This window comes from Homo sapiens, chromosome 1 (genome assembly GCF_000001405.40).
Source record: "Homo sapiens chromosome 1, GRCh38.p14 Primary Assembly".
Taxonomy (NCBI): Eukaryota; Metazoa; Chordata; class Mammalia; order Primates; family Hominidae; genus Homo; species Homo sapiens.
Genome location: NC_000001.11, coordinates 223967728 through 223981913, shown reverse-complemented (window position 1 = coordinate 223981913; position 14186 = coordinate 223967728). Strand labels below are relative to the sequence as shown.

At 43.6% G+C, this 14186-nt stretch overlaps 2 pseudogenes across 1 annotated transcript in view; both read left to right on the top strand.

Moving 5' to 3' along the window:
* GTF2IP20 (general transcription factor IIi pseudogene 20) overlaps positions 1–14186 on the top strand; it is a 41379-nt pseudogene that overhangs the window by 10731 nt on the left and 16462 nt on the right. Inside the window, exon 6 of the transcript NR_132119.1 lies at positions 4799–5034. The product of NR_132119.1 is annotated as a general transcription factor IIi pseudogene 20 (transcript). The remainder of the gene's footprint in view (positions 1–4798; positions 5035–14186) is intronic.
* On the top strand, positions 5665–5768 carry RNU6-1319P (RNA, U6 small nuclear 1319, pseudogene; annotated as a pseudogene).

Below are 14186 nucleotides of genomic sequence, written 5' to 3'. Positions count from 1 at the left end.
ACATCATCCTCAGAATCTGTGGGGAGTTCACATAGCCAGTTAAGACCCATTCCTCTTTGACCCTATAAAGATTCTTTAAAGAATAATACCCTTAGTGGTTTTCTAGCCAGCTTGCCTGCTCATTTATCTTTGAGGACGACATGCCTTGTGGAGCTCCACAGGCCCCAGAGGGGTATGGATTCTGCATTTAAAAGTGCTGAAGCTGAGAGACTGGGTCTTGGTGGACCCCGAGAGGTCTGTTTCTCCTCTACTCATTGTTCCTTTTTTTCCCAACAGCTGGCATTGCTGTTTAAATGGGTTGTTCTTTGCTGTTTTAAGTTGTTTCATAGTGGTGTGTCAGGATTTGGGTTTTCTTAATACTTTCCAAGCTGGTGACTTGAGTGGTGGTTAGGGCGGAAATGTTTTAGGGCTGTTCTGGAGCTATTGAGGTCAGGTGTCTAGATACTCCCAGCTTGTCTGTTGAGGAGAATGCTGTTCTCATTGTGCTGCCTTTGGTGGTGCTGTGTGTGGCTCTTTAGATGTGGGTGGAGGTGAGCTGGGGGAGTTAATGAGATCTTTTTTAGGTGCTTTTGATAAAGTAGCCTGCACTACAGGATTCACTGTGACTTTTTTCCTTAACCTATGCATTTCTCTCTGCTAGCTTTTGCTGTCTTTCTCATGCCTTTGATTTTCCCAGCTCCTCTTAGTTGAATTAACCTAAGTGCTCTGCTATGGTTTAAATGTGTCCCCCAAAGTTTATGTGCTGGAAACTCAATCCTCAATGCAACAGTTGGGATGTGGGGCCTAATAAAATAGCCTTCATGAATGAGTTAATGTTGTTATTGTGGTAATAGATTAGTAATCACAGAGTGGGCTTATTATAAAACAGAGTTCAGCCCCTTTTGCCCTCTTGCCTTCTTGCACTCTCTTTTCCTTCTGCCTTCTGTAGTGGGATGATGCGGCAAGAAGACCCTTACCAGATGCAGGCCCCTCAACCTTGGACTTCCTAACATCCAGAACTGTTAAGAAATAAAATTTATTCCTTTCCTTTCCTTTTCTTCCTCCTTTCCCTTCTCCTCCCTTTTCTTCCCTTCCCCTCCCTCCCTCTCTCTCTCCCTCCCTCCCTCCTTCCCTCCCTCCCTCCTTCCCTCCCTCCCTCCTTCCCTCCCTTCCTCCTTCCCTCCCTTCCTCCTTCCCTCTTTCTCTCTTTCCCTTCCTTCCTTTCCTTCTTTCCCATCCTTTCCTTCCCTCCTTCCCTTTTTCCCTCCTTCCCTCCTTCCTTCCTTTTTTCTTTCCTTCCTTTTTTCCTTTTTATAAATTATGCAGTCTGTGGTATTCTTTTATTGAAGCATGAAATGGACAAAGACTCCATTTTCAAGAGCAAGCACTTTTGTAGTTTCTGAGCGAATTATGACTGCAAAGGAAGTTCTATAGGTAGCCTCAGATCCACTACCTAGGAAGCATGCTACCAAGCAGACCTAGGATCTAGGATTTGATCAAGTGCTGGGCAACATGATACCTCTGCAATTTAGCACTTCCCTATATACCTCCAGTTGGCTCAGCCCATTAGGGCTAAAACTACCCCTCATATCCTAGTGTCTCTTGTAGACAGAAGCCTTGCCTAAACCCTAAGCTGCTTGGCTCGCATTCTGTCTTGTGCTTTTTTTGTAGGGGGTTCAAATATACACAAAAGAAATATGTTGAACCTCCATGCACCCAACCTGCAGATTAAGCAGTTACCTCCATTTTTCCAGATTTGTTTCGTCTGCTTCAATCTCCCTAAAAATTTATGTTTGTACAGGAAAGACTGAATAAATAGCTAGTTCTCCACCCTACCTCTCATCTTAAGTCACTTTTCAGAGTAGTAAGTTAGTGACCTAGTAACCTTCCCTCTAATGACCAGTAGTTTTTTCTTCTGAATACCATTATGAACTCATAGATTATTGTTTGCATTTGATGTATTTCAGGCCATTGCAGTCTTTATTGTTTTGGATGCTTACATTGTCTCATCTAGGTTAATAATTATCTCTTCAAGTTGACTTTCATGTCTTTTTGACGTGATCCTGTTGGACTTTGATGGCTTCCTTGCTTTCTGGCAAAAAAGATGTTCCAGGATCAATATACTGCACCATACATGGAGTCAGCCATTTCTCTAGGGAACCTTGATTCCTTTTAGTAGAGAACACAGTTTGAGGTCTTGGACTGAATGACTTTTGTGAACCTCCTCTCCTGAGACTACAGCCTGCATCCCTGCATATAGCCCGTTTGGAGCTTTTGCTGGGCACCAACAGATCTCCTAAAACTGCTATATAGTTCTGCCTCACTCTTAAAAAGATTCATCTCTTGAGAGTTCTGTGCTCTACCCCCAGATGTGGTCTTTCTGGTTCTGAAGCTTTTGCTTCAGTCACCCTGAATTTTGCCAGCCCTATGCATGCTATACCTTGGATTGCCAACTTGCCCTCACTGAAGCCAGTTTCTCTGGTTAGAATAGTTGCCCAAACCCATGCCTAATACTCTAGTAAACAAGGTTCTACCTGGGCTTAGGTTAACTTTTGCTCCTTTGGGCCCTGTGTTCTACCAGCATTCCATTTATCTGAAATTCTCCCTCACCTTAAGAACTTATCTGTTCTTTAATGATTTACTGCTGCTTCCTGGGCTCGAAAGAACCCAGTTCAGGAGTTTCTGTTTTAGTTTGAGATCTTATAGGCCTGTCTCATCAGGTTGGTGTCAGCCCAGCTAGGATTAGGCAGAATTGGGTGGGGGCTGTAGTGCATTTTTGGCACAGCATGTACCTGTCTGACTAATTCTCTGTCTTTTCTTTCCTGTTGCAATTCATGGGTCTTAGCATCTTCTGAATGGTGTTTAGTAGGTCATCCTGTTGATTTCCTGCTGGGGGTAGCATACTCTGGCTCTGTACCATTGGCCAAGGGACTTAAGGATAGATGAAGGGCTGCAGTTTTGTTAAATGGAACAATATGAAGAGATGGCATTGTAAAAAAAAAAAAAAGGCTTGGCAGCAGGGCCCATTTGAATGGTTGGTCCTTGGCTCCTTTGTTGATATAGGGAGATCCTTGATGGGAATTTGGAATGATCCCAAATATTGTAGATCACTGGTACATCAAGTCATCCTCAAGGTTGTCTGTGTAACAGTCTTGAATGATATTTTGTCAGTCTTTGGAGATTCTCTGTATAGGGTTTAATCATTTAGTTAGTTGAGCCTGTTTAGTTTCTTTGCAAGGAGATAAGAAATGTGAAAGAGATGCAGACATTAGGGAAAAAAAGTCAGGAGCCTTGTTCCCCCATCCTCTACTTGGGTTCTGGAACTAGACTCATAGGTGAGTAGTGAGGAGCTGGTCCCAAGCACATTAATCCTAGATCTAGCTCTGCTTTGCGCTCGCTCCAGTTCTTGTATCAAATTCACTTCAAGCCACCCAGAGTAGTATGTAGAGGAGTCATTCAGGACCGTGCTCATACTTCATTGTATCAAATTGGAGATCCAGTAATTTATAGCCTATTGTTTCTGGAGCCTGGAGATGGCTCTGCATAAGATTTGCCGAAGCAAATTTTATTACATTAGAAGAGAACCTAGCTGGCTGCATCCTACACTGGAAGCTTTTAGATGCTAATAAGGAGGTCATGTAAAGGTCACAGAATGATTCTGGAATCCATTCCCCGCCAAGAAAGAATAATGACATTCTATGTTGGCCTCTTTTCATTTCCCTTTGATTTTGAGTAATAAATTCTCTCCTCACTTCCCAGTTGAACTGTTTGGGAGTCTCTATTCCCTAGAAAGACTCTGGTCACATACCCATCAGATTAAATTAGGTGAAAACTCTTTGGCCTTCATGAATGTTGAAGGATTTCAAAGGGCTAATGGAAATTCTTCTAGAAGTAACTGCAACCTCCGCCTTCCGGGTTCAAGCGATTTTCCTGCCTCAGCCTCCCAAGTAGCTGGGATTACAGGTGTCCACCACCATGCCCAACTAATTTTGGTATTTTTAGTAGAGACGGGGTTTCACCATGTTGGCCAGGCTGATCTAGAACTTTTGACCTCAGGTGATCCGCCCGCCTCAGCCTCCCAAAGTGCTGGGATTACAGGCGTGATCCACCGTGCCCAGTTAAACTTCAGTTTTTCATGTTCCATGCATTGGTCAGGGTCTTAGGGAGTGATTCATTCTAGCAGAACTCCCTGGATTTTAAGACAGATGTTCCATTTATTAATTGACAAAGGAGGCATATTTCTCCCCTGGTAACCCAAAGATTTAGGTCATTTTCCCAGAGACTCCATTTCCACTGTGAGGGTTCTTGGAAAACTAAGCAGAGGATGAGGAAAAGTCTGTGAACAAGCTTGCTGGTCTCTCCCTGTCCTACAAAAGAGCATACCTCTTCTGTAACCAGAAGGCCCTTTTGATTAGTCAAGGCTGGACAGACTGAGATTGGGGGTGGGTGTGTGTGTGTGTGTGTGTGTGTGTGTGTGTGTGTGTGTGTTTGTGTGTGTCTTGAGACAGGGTCTCACTGTCACCCAGGCTGGAGTGCAGTGGTGAGATCAGAGCTCACTGCAGCTTCCACTTCCTGGGCTCAAGCGATCCTCCTATTTCAGCCTCCAGAGTAGCTGGGACTATACGAATGTTTTACCGCACCCAGTTCATTTTCTAATTTTTTGTAGAGATGAGGTTTCACTGTGTTGCTCAGGCTGGTCTTGAACTCCTGGCCTCACGGAATCCTCCTGCCTTAGTCTCCCAGTGGGCTGGGATTATAGGTATGAGCCACCTCACCTGACCTGCGACGATTTTTCAACAATGTAATTTCTCTTTTACAGAGCCACCTAAGCTGAAGATTCCCTTGAGAACAAGTACTGTCCTGCGGTTTCATGGCCTTTCTTCCATTTGTGGTTCTTGTGAAGTGGAATTTAAATGACATCTTATCAAGATGGATAAACCCTAGTTTCCCAGTGCTGGAATATAGAAAATGGATGGACAAGTAAATCCCACTCAGCACCCATAGTCCAGGCATGGGGACCTCAACACACCTGAGCACCAGACATCACCTTTCATTGTGAGTAGCTCTGAGATGACACTTCTGCTGTTCCCAATTCCAGCATTAATTGGATTAGATAGTTATTTTATGAAGAATTTTCATATGCCACAATCCTGACCATATCTTCAAGTGAACAGAAAAATTCTATTAAAAAGTCAACCTTCTGTCTCACTCTGTTGCCCAGACTGGAGTGCAGTGGTGCAATTATGGCTCACTGCAGCCTCAACCTCCTGGGCTCAAGCAATCCTCCTGCCTCAGCCTCACAAGTAGCTGGGACTACAGGTGCTTGTCACCACACCTCACTAATTTTCCCATTTGTGTTATATGTGGATTCCACAGGACTGACTTCGAAAACTTGAGTATGCGTGGATTTTGGTATACACAGAAATGGGAGAGTTGGAACTAATCCCCCCATATACCAAGGGACAAATTGTATCTGTTTTTACAATTATACAGTAGGAGACATTATGTTCCATGACAATGGTAATTTTTAATGACAGTTTTTAATTGAGTGAAATTACCATAAAAATAATAATAGTAGCAGCTAATATTTACTGAGCTGTTACTAGGTGCCTATAAATAGCATAGATTTTTAAATTCTCCATAATTCTTCCTTATTTCACTTAACCACTCTATCTTACATTACTCATGCTTGCCTCAGTAGCACACATACTTAAGTTGGAACAATAGAGAGATTGGCATGGCCTCTGTGAAAGAATGACATGCAAATTTGTGAAGCATTCCATATTTTTTTAAAAAAAGAGAAAAAAATTACTCCCAGATTTTCACTGTGTTTGTGCATATGACCTTTTGTTTAGGTTGAATTATATCGAAAGGTGAAATTTCCAGAAGTGAGATTACTGTGAGTCACACAGCATGAGCATTCTTATTACCCTTGATGTAAATTACAAAGCTTTCAGGCATGGTGGCTGTCAGCCTGTAATTCCAGCACTTTGGGAGGCTGAGGTGGGAGGATTGCTTGAGGCCAGGAGTTGGAGGAGGCAGTATAATGAGTCACTGTCTGTATGATTTAAAAAAAATTTCCAAGCTTTATGCTGGAAGGCTTATATACATTTTAAACACCACTAATACTACAAGAAAATGGCCATTTCACTGCACCTTCGCCCACACAGGTATTATAATTTAACAAGTTATTTTCTGTGTGATAAATGAAAGACCTCATATTATTACTTTGTCACCCATTCTTTTTTCTTTTTTGAGACGCAGTCTCACTCTGTCGACCAGGCTGGAGTGCAGTGGTGTGATCTCGGCTCACTGCAACCTGTGCCTCCCAGGTTCAAGCGATTCTCCTGCCTCAGCCTCCTGAGTAGCTGGGATTACAGGCACATGCCACCATGCCTGGCTAATTTTTGTATTTTTAGTAGAAACGTGGTTTCACCATGTTGATCAGGCTGGTCTCGAACTCCTGATCTCGTGATCTACCTGCCTTGGCCTCCCAAAGTGCTTGATTACAGCTGTGAGCCATGTGCCCAGCCTATTTGTCACATATTTTATCTTTCCTTATGTTAGCTTATTAGCTTTATTTCTTTATTGTCCTTTTTTTTTTTTTTTTTTGAGATGAAGTCTCGCTCTGTCTCCTAGGCTTCAGTGTAGTGGCACAGTCTCAACTCACTGCAGCCTTGACCTCCTAGGCTCAGGTGATCCTTCCACCTCAGTAGTTGGGACTATAGGCACATGCCACTATGCCTGGCCAATTATTTTTATTTTTTTATTTTTACTAGAGAGGAGGTCTTGCTTTGTTTCTTAGGCTGGTCTGGAACTCCTGGCCTCAAGCAATCCCCCCGCCACCCCCTCCCAAAGTACTGGTATTATAAGCATGAGCCACCATGCCTGGGGTATCTGTGTCTTTTCCATTTATTTATAGAGTTACTTTGTCTTTTACTAATTCAATGATCTGTTTAATCTTTTATTAAATTATAAAAATAATAAATACTTTTAAATAAGTGAAAAATGTCCTTCACTCTTTAGACCCATAATCTTATCTCAGGAAATAATTGCAGTTGAGAAAATGGGCCATATCCTTCAAGATACGTACATGGTGATTGAACATCACTTCATATTTTCATATTTCGTGGACATTTGTGCCAATACCTATTGATCTATCTTAATACTTTTCATGGTTGCATAATATGTTATTATATGGGTGTATCACAATTTACCAGTACCAGTCAACTGCTGGAGGCATTTAGGCTCCTTCTAATATTTGCTTTGAGCTCTTTATATAATTAAAAATTAACCCCCTCAGCCAGGTGTGGCACTTCACACCTGTAATCCCAGCATTTTGCAAGGCTGAGGTGAGAGAACTGCCTGAGTGTAGGAGATCACCACCAACCTGGTCAACATAGTGACACTTTGTCTCTACTAAAAATTAAAAAAAAAAAATGAGCTACACGTTGCAGTGCACACCTGTAGTCCGAGCTACTGGGGAGGCTAAGACTGGAGGATCACTTGAGTCTAGAAGGTTGAGGCTGCAGTAAGCTATGATCACACCATTGCACTTTAGCTTTGCTAAGAGCAAGACTGCATTTCTTAAACAAAATAAAAATTAGATGGTAATATTGCTCAAGCCCTGGAGGTTGAGGCTGCAGTTAACTGTGATTGCACCACTGCAGTCCAGCCTAGGCGATAGAGCAAGACCCTTTCTCTAAAAATAAAATAAAAATTAACCTTCTATCATATTTCCCAGTAACACCTTCCCTCCTACATTTCTCCTAGAAGCCCTTAAATTTTGTTTTTCACATATCGTTTAAAACTTTTAAGTGCTGATGTCTGTCTGTGTCATCCCTCTTTTTTTTTTTTTTTTTTTTAAATGTCTTTTTGTCACTTCTAGCTGGACCTACCATGAAAGACTTCTGAATCCAGGAAGAGAAACTGACTGGGCAACATGTTATTCAGGTACAAAAAGACTTGGACTGTAACTCAAAAATGATCAAATAATAGTGCATGCATCAAGTGCAATCGGAAGCTCTTCTGGAGAGGGAGAGAAGCTTCCAGTTAAGGTGACATTGAAGCCAAGTCCTGTAAGATAAGGAAGAGTTGTATGAGAGTGGGGAGGGAAGGGGGAGGTGGAGGGATGGGGATTGGGCTGGGATAGGATGGAGTGAGCTGCCCAGGCAGGGAAACCAGCACTATACAGTCCTGAACAATGAAGATGGCACATTTTGTTCAGGGAATGGTGAATTAAGTGTGGCAGAAATGCTTTGTAGAGAGTAATTTGCTTGTATGGAATTTTGCCCAAGAGACCTCATTACAGTTTCTAATTTTTTGATGTTATCATGCATCACTACCCTTGTCAGATAGTATCATGATCACAATAACATCAAGCATAATATTTCATTGATTCTCACAAAAACAGTTGGGTGCCACAGTTATCCCCATTATATGCACAAAATGATGAAGACTTGGGGTTAATGAGCGATTTGCCCAAGCTCACCTGAATATTAGGACTGAGTCAAATGTTAGTCTGGTCTGACTTTAATGCTTGCCTTGTTCATGAGCACCATGCATTGCCTCTCCTATTAAGTTAAGCAGGTAGACAGGTGAGAGAAGAGCCTGTGTGATATCGGGGGAAATTCACCCCTGATATTTCATGTAGGTTCTTTTCTATTTTCCCTGAGTGTCAGCCGGTCTGAGAAATAAAGGGAAAGAGTACAAAAGAGAGAAATTTTAAAGCTGGGTGTCCAGGGGAGACATCACACGTCAGCAGGTTCCGTGATGCCCCCCCAAGCTGCAAAACCAACAAGTTTTTATTAGTGATTTTCAAAAGGGGAGGGAGTGTACGAATAGGGTGTGGGTCACAGAGATCACATGCTTCACAAGGTAATAAAATATCACAAGGCAAATGGAGGCAGGGCAAGACCACAGGACCGGGGCGAAATTAAAATTGCTAATGAAGTTTCGGGCACGCATTTTCATTGATAACATCTTATCAGGAGAAAGGGTTTGAGAGCAGACAACCCATCTGACCAAAATTTATTAGGCGGGAATTTCCTTGTCCTGATAAGCCTGGGAGCGCCACGCGAACCCAGGGCTTATTTCGTCCCTTATCTACGACTGTAAAAGACAGCTGTCCCCAAAGCGGCCATTTCAGAGGCCTCCCCTTAGGGATGCATTCTCTTTCTCAGGGATGTTCTTTGCTGAGAAAAAGAATTCAGCAATATTTCTCCTATTTGCTTTTGAAAGAAGAGAAATATGGCTCTGTTCCACCCGGCCCACAGGCAGCCAGAGTTTAAGGTTATCTCCCTTGTTCCCTGAAATTGCTGTTATCCTGTTCTTTTTTCAAGGTGCCCAGGTTTCATATTGTTTAAACAACTTGTGCAGTTAACGCAATTATCACAGGGTCCTGCGGGGACATCATCCTCAGCTTACGAAGGTGACCGGATTAAGAGATTAAAGTAAAGACAGGCATAGGAAATCACAAGGGTATTGATTGGGGAAGTGATAAGTGTCCATGAAATCTTCACAATTTATGTTCAGAGATTGCAGTAAAGACAGGCCTAAGAAATTATAGAAGTATTAATTTGGGGAACTAACAAATGTCTATGAAATCTTCACAATTTATGTTCTTCTGCCATGGCTTCAGCCAGTCCCTCCGTTTGGGGTCCCTGACTTCCCGCAACACGTTTCTCTCTACTCACAGACTTCTGACCAAATGTGTGTGCAGAGTTTCTACACCAGTTCTCCAACTCTCTGGATACCAACCGCGTATCCCACAATTCCATTCTGACACTACCTAGAGTTAGCACAGAACCCACAGGTTAGGGGCTCAGTCCCACAAGACCACCCTCACTTCAGATGCCAGTTGCAAGTCCTAGGTTGTCACCTGTATTTTGACCAACCAGTTAGAAATCGGGGTTTCCCATGACCCTCTTCTTGAGTTTAATTATTTACTAGAACAACTCACAGAACTTAGAAAAACAGGTTTTTTTTCTTTTCTATTTAAGAGACAGGGCCTCGCTCTGTTGTCCAAGCTGGTGTGCAGTGGTGCAATCATAGCTCATTGAAGCCTCAACCTCCAGGGCTCAAGTGATTCTCCTGCTTCAGCCTCTCAAGTAGCTGGAATTACAGGGTTCCCACCACCACATTTGGCTCATTTCTTTTATTTTTTGTATAGATGGGGTCTTCTTATGTTGCCCAGGTTGGTCTCAAATTGCTAGGCTCAAGTGATTCCACCCACCTCTGCCTCCCACAGTGCTGGGATTACGGGCATGAGCCAGCGCATCTGGCCACCTTATTTTCAATTACTGGCTCAATGTAATGGCTCCATCTCAGGAACAGCCAATGAAAGAGATGCACAGGACAAGGTAAGTGGGGAGGGGCACAGAGCTTCCATGCCCTCTGTTGGGCACACTACCCTCCCAGGACCTCCTTGTGTTTAGCAACACAGAAGCTCTCCAAACCCTGCAGTTTGGGTTTTTATGGAGGCATGATTGATAAAATCATTGGCCATTGGTAGTTAAGTCAATCTCCAGTTCCTTTTGCCTCCTGGAGTTCAGCAGGTGAGGCTGAAAGTTCCAAGCCTCAAAAAATGTGGTTGGGGCCAGGTGCGGTGGCTCACTCCTGTAATCCTAGCAGTTTGGAAGGCTGAGGCACATGGACCACTTGAGGTCAAGAGTTTGAGACAAGCCTGACCAACATGGTGAAACCTCGTTTCTACTAAAAATAACAACAGTTAGCTAGGCATTGTGGCACATCCCTATAATTCCAGCTACTCGGGAGGCCGAGGCAGGAGAATTGCTTGAACCCGGGAAGTGGAGGTTGTAGTGAGCTGAGATTGTGCCATTGCACTCCAGCCTGGGCTACAAGAGCCAAACTCCGTTTTAAAAAAAAAATGTGGTTGCTTTCTCTGGCAGCTAGCCCTCCTCCTGAAGCAGTCTAGGAGCTTGCAGCCACCCTGTTAGCTCAACAGCATCCCACATGCATTCTTACCATGCTGCAGATCTGAAAGACCTTAGAGGCCCTTGTGTCAGGAACCTGGGACTAAGACTAAATATCAAAACAGAAAATGCTCCTATTACCTCTGTCACGAAGGGCTTTATAAGAGCTTTGGAAGCTCTATGCCTGGAACCAGGGGCAGAGACCAAATGTATATTTCTTTTCTTATATTGGAGACAGAGTCTCACTCTGCCACTGAGGCTGGAGTGCAGTGATGTGATCATAGCTCACTGCAGCCTTGACGTCCTAGGCTAAAGCAATCCTCCCACCTTAGCCTCTCCAGTAGCTGGAACTACAGGCATGCATCACCATGTCCAGCTGATTTTAATTTTAATTTTGTAAAGGCAGGGTCTTCCTATTTTCCCCAGGCTGATCTCTAACTCTTGGCCTCAAGCAATCCTTCCTCTTTGGCCTCCCAAAATGTTGAGATTACAGATGGGAGCCCCCATACCCACCAATCACAAGGATCTTTATAAGAGAAAGAGGTAGGAGAGTCAGAATTAGAGAAAGTGATGTGGTAATGGAAGAAGAGGTCAGAGAGGGAGATTTGAAGATGCTGCACTTCTGGCCTTGAATATGGAGTCACGAGGTAAGTCAAGGAATGGGGGTGGCTTCTAGAAGCTGGAAAAGGCAAAGGAGCACATTCTGTCTAGAGCCTCCCCCAGAAGGAATGCAGCCCCTCTGACACCTTGACTTTAGCCTTAATAGACCTAGTTGGGTTTCTGGCCCCCAGAACTGTAAGATGGTAGATTTGTGGTGTTTGATGCTACTAAATGTAGGGTACTTTGTTGTAGCAACAACAAAAAATGAACATGAAGCTGGGACCTCATGTTACAGTTGCTCACGCCTGTAATCCCAGAACTTTAGGAGGCTGAGGTGGGAGGATCGCTTAAGCCCAGGAGCTTAAGACCAGCCTGGGCAACATAATGAGACCTCATGTCTAAAAAAAAATTTTTTAAAAGGCCAGACGCAGTGGCTCATGCCTGTAATCCCAGCACTTTGGGAGGCCGAGGAGGGTGGATCACGAGGTCAGAAGTTCAAGACCAGCCTAGCCAAGATGGTGAAACCCCATTTCTACTAAAAATACAAACATTAGCCAGGTGTGGTGGTGGGTGCCTGTAATCCCAGCTACTCGGGAGGCAGAGAATCACTTGAACCCAAAAGGCAGACATTGCAGTGAGCCAAGATTGCACCCTTACACTTCAGCCTGGGCGACCGAGACTCCGTCTCAAAAAAAAAAAAAAAAAAAAGCCATGTGTTGTGGCATGCAGCTGTAGTCTCAGTTCCTAGGGTGGCTGAGGCGGGAGGATTGTTTAAGCCTGGGAGGTTGAAGTTGCTGTGAGCTGTGATTGCACCAGTGTACTCCAGCCTGGGCAATAAAGCAAGACCTTGTTTCAAAAAGAAAGAAAGAAATGAGCATGGTGGGAATGGGGACAGATGGCAGTATTAAGTAGAGTGGTCAGGGTTGGCCTCATAAGTGAATATTGAGCAAAAGTTTGAAGCAGGTGATGGAGCTGGCCAAGGTGCTGAGGGAAGAGCATTGTAGGCTGAGTCAACAGGATAAAGGCATTAGGAGGAAACTCTCTGGTGTGTCTGAGGCTCTGGAAGGAGGCCAGTGGAGCAAAGAGATAGAGGGAGCGAAGTCAGCGAGGAGGCCAGGGAGTTGCTGGGCTGGGATCGGTACAGATCGTGTAAGCCCTGGGACGCTATTGCTGGGGCTTTGGCTTTTACTCTGACTAAAATGGGAACCACCGAGGGCTTCTGAGCAGAGAGGCGACATGATCTGTCTCCTGATTTAAAAGCACGACCTGGCTGCCAAGTTGAGAAAGACTATGGGAAGATTTGGGTAGAAGCATGGGGGCCAAGCTGTGGCAACATCCCGGTGGGAGATGATAGTGATCCTGATCGGGTTCAAGGTGGTGGTGAGAGATGGTTAGAGCCTGGATACATGTTGAAGTCAGTCAGTAGGATTTCCTGACAGACTGGATGTGAGCTGTGAGAGAAGGCAGTGGTCAAGGTTGAGTTTGATTCTGATTGAATTATTAAGTAATTTTAAAAAACACTACTGCCTTTCCCAATCCTACCAAGTAAAGGATGCTAGATAAAAGAAATCTCAAGTCAGGCCAGGTACAGTGGCTCACACCTATAGTTCCAACAGTTTGAGAGGCAGAGATGGGAGTATGTTTTAAGGCCATGAGTTTGAGAGCAGCCTGGGCAACACAGCAAGACCTCCTCTCTACAAAAATAAAAAAAATAAATTTAATAAAATAAAATAAATATAGCCAGGCATGATGGTATGTACCTATGGCCCCAGTTACTCATGTGGCTGAGATGGGCAGATCTCTTGATTCTAGGAGTTTGAGGCCAGCTTGGGCAACATAGCAAGTCTTCTCTCTCTACAAAAATGAAAAAAATGCCTGACATGGTGGTACTTGCCTGTATTCCCAGGTATGGGGGCAGCTGAGGCAGGAGCATCTCTTGAGCCCAGTTGGTCAAGGTTGCAGTGAGCTATGATTATACCACTGCACTCCATCCTGGGTGACAGAGTGGGACCCTGTCTCAAAATACAAATACAAATGAAATCTCAAGTCAGACCAGTCCCTTCTAGGCTATGTAGGCCTTGTAACCATATAGCTGCATGATCGGGTTTGTGTGGCTGTGGATGAGGAAACCCCTGTCCAATTGTTGGCTATGTAATCAGTTTATTTTTCAATATAGTAATCAAATATATTTCATCATACTTGATGGTCTCAGATATGTGTGGATTTTGGAATTCCCCTTGGAACAGGTTGTAACATCTTATTGGCTCCATAATTCCATAATTTTTTTAATCTGATCAGTTTTTAATAAGATCAGAATTTATATTAGACTACTTAATCGGTTTTGTTAATGAGAAAATGAAATTGTGTTGTTTGCATTTTATCCAAGATGGGTGTCATATTGGGTAAATCTCATCAATACTTGAACAAATGCAAAATTAGAGCTTCTTTATCATGAAACACGATGTAATTCTTGAAGAAGATGCCATTTCTTTTTTTCTTTTTTTTTTTTTAAGATAAGAGTCTTTCTCTTGTCACCCAGGCTGGAGTGCAATGGTGCGATTTTGGCTCACTGCAACCTTCACCTTCTGGGTTCAAGCAATTCTCCTGCCTCAGCCTCCCGAGTAGCTGGGATTACAGGTGCCCGCCACCATACCCAGCTAATTTTTGTATTTT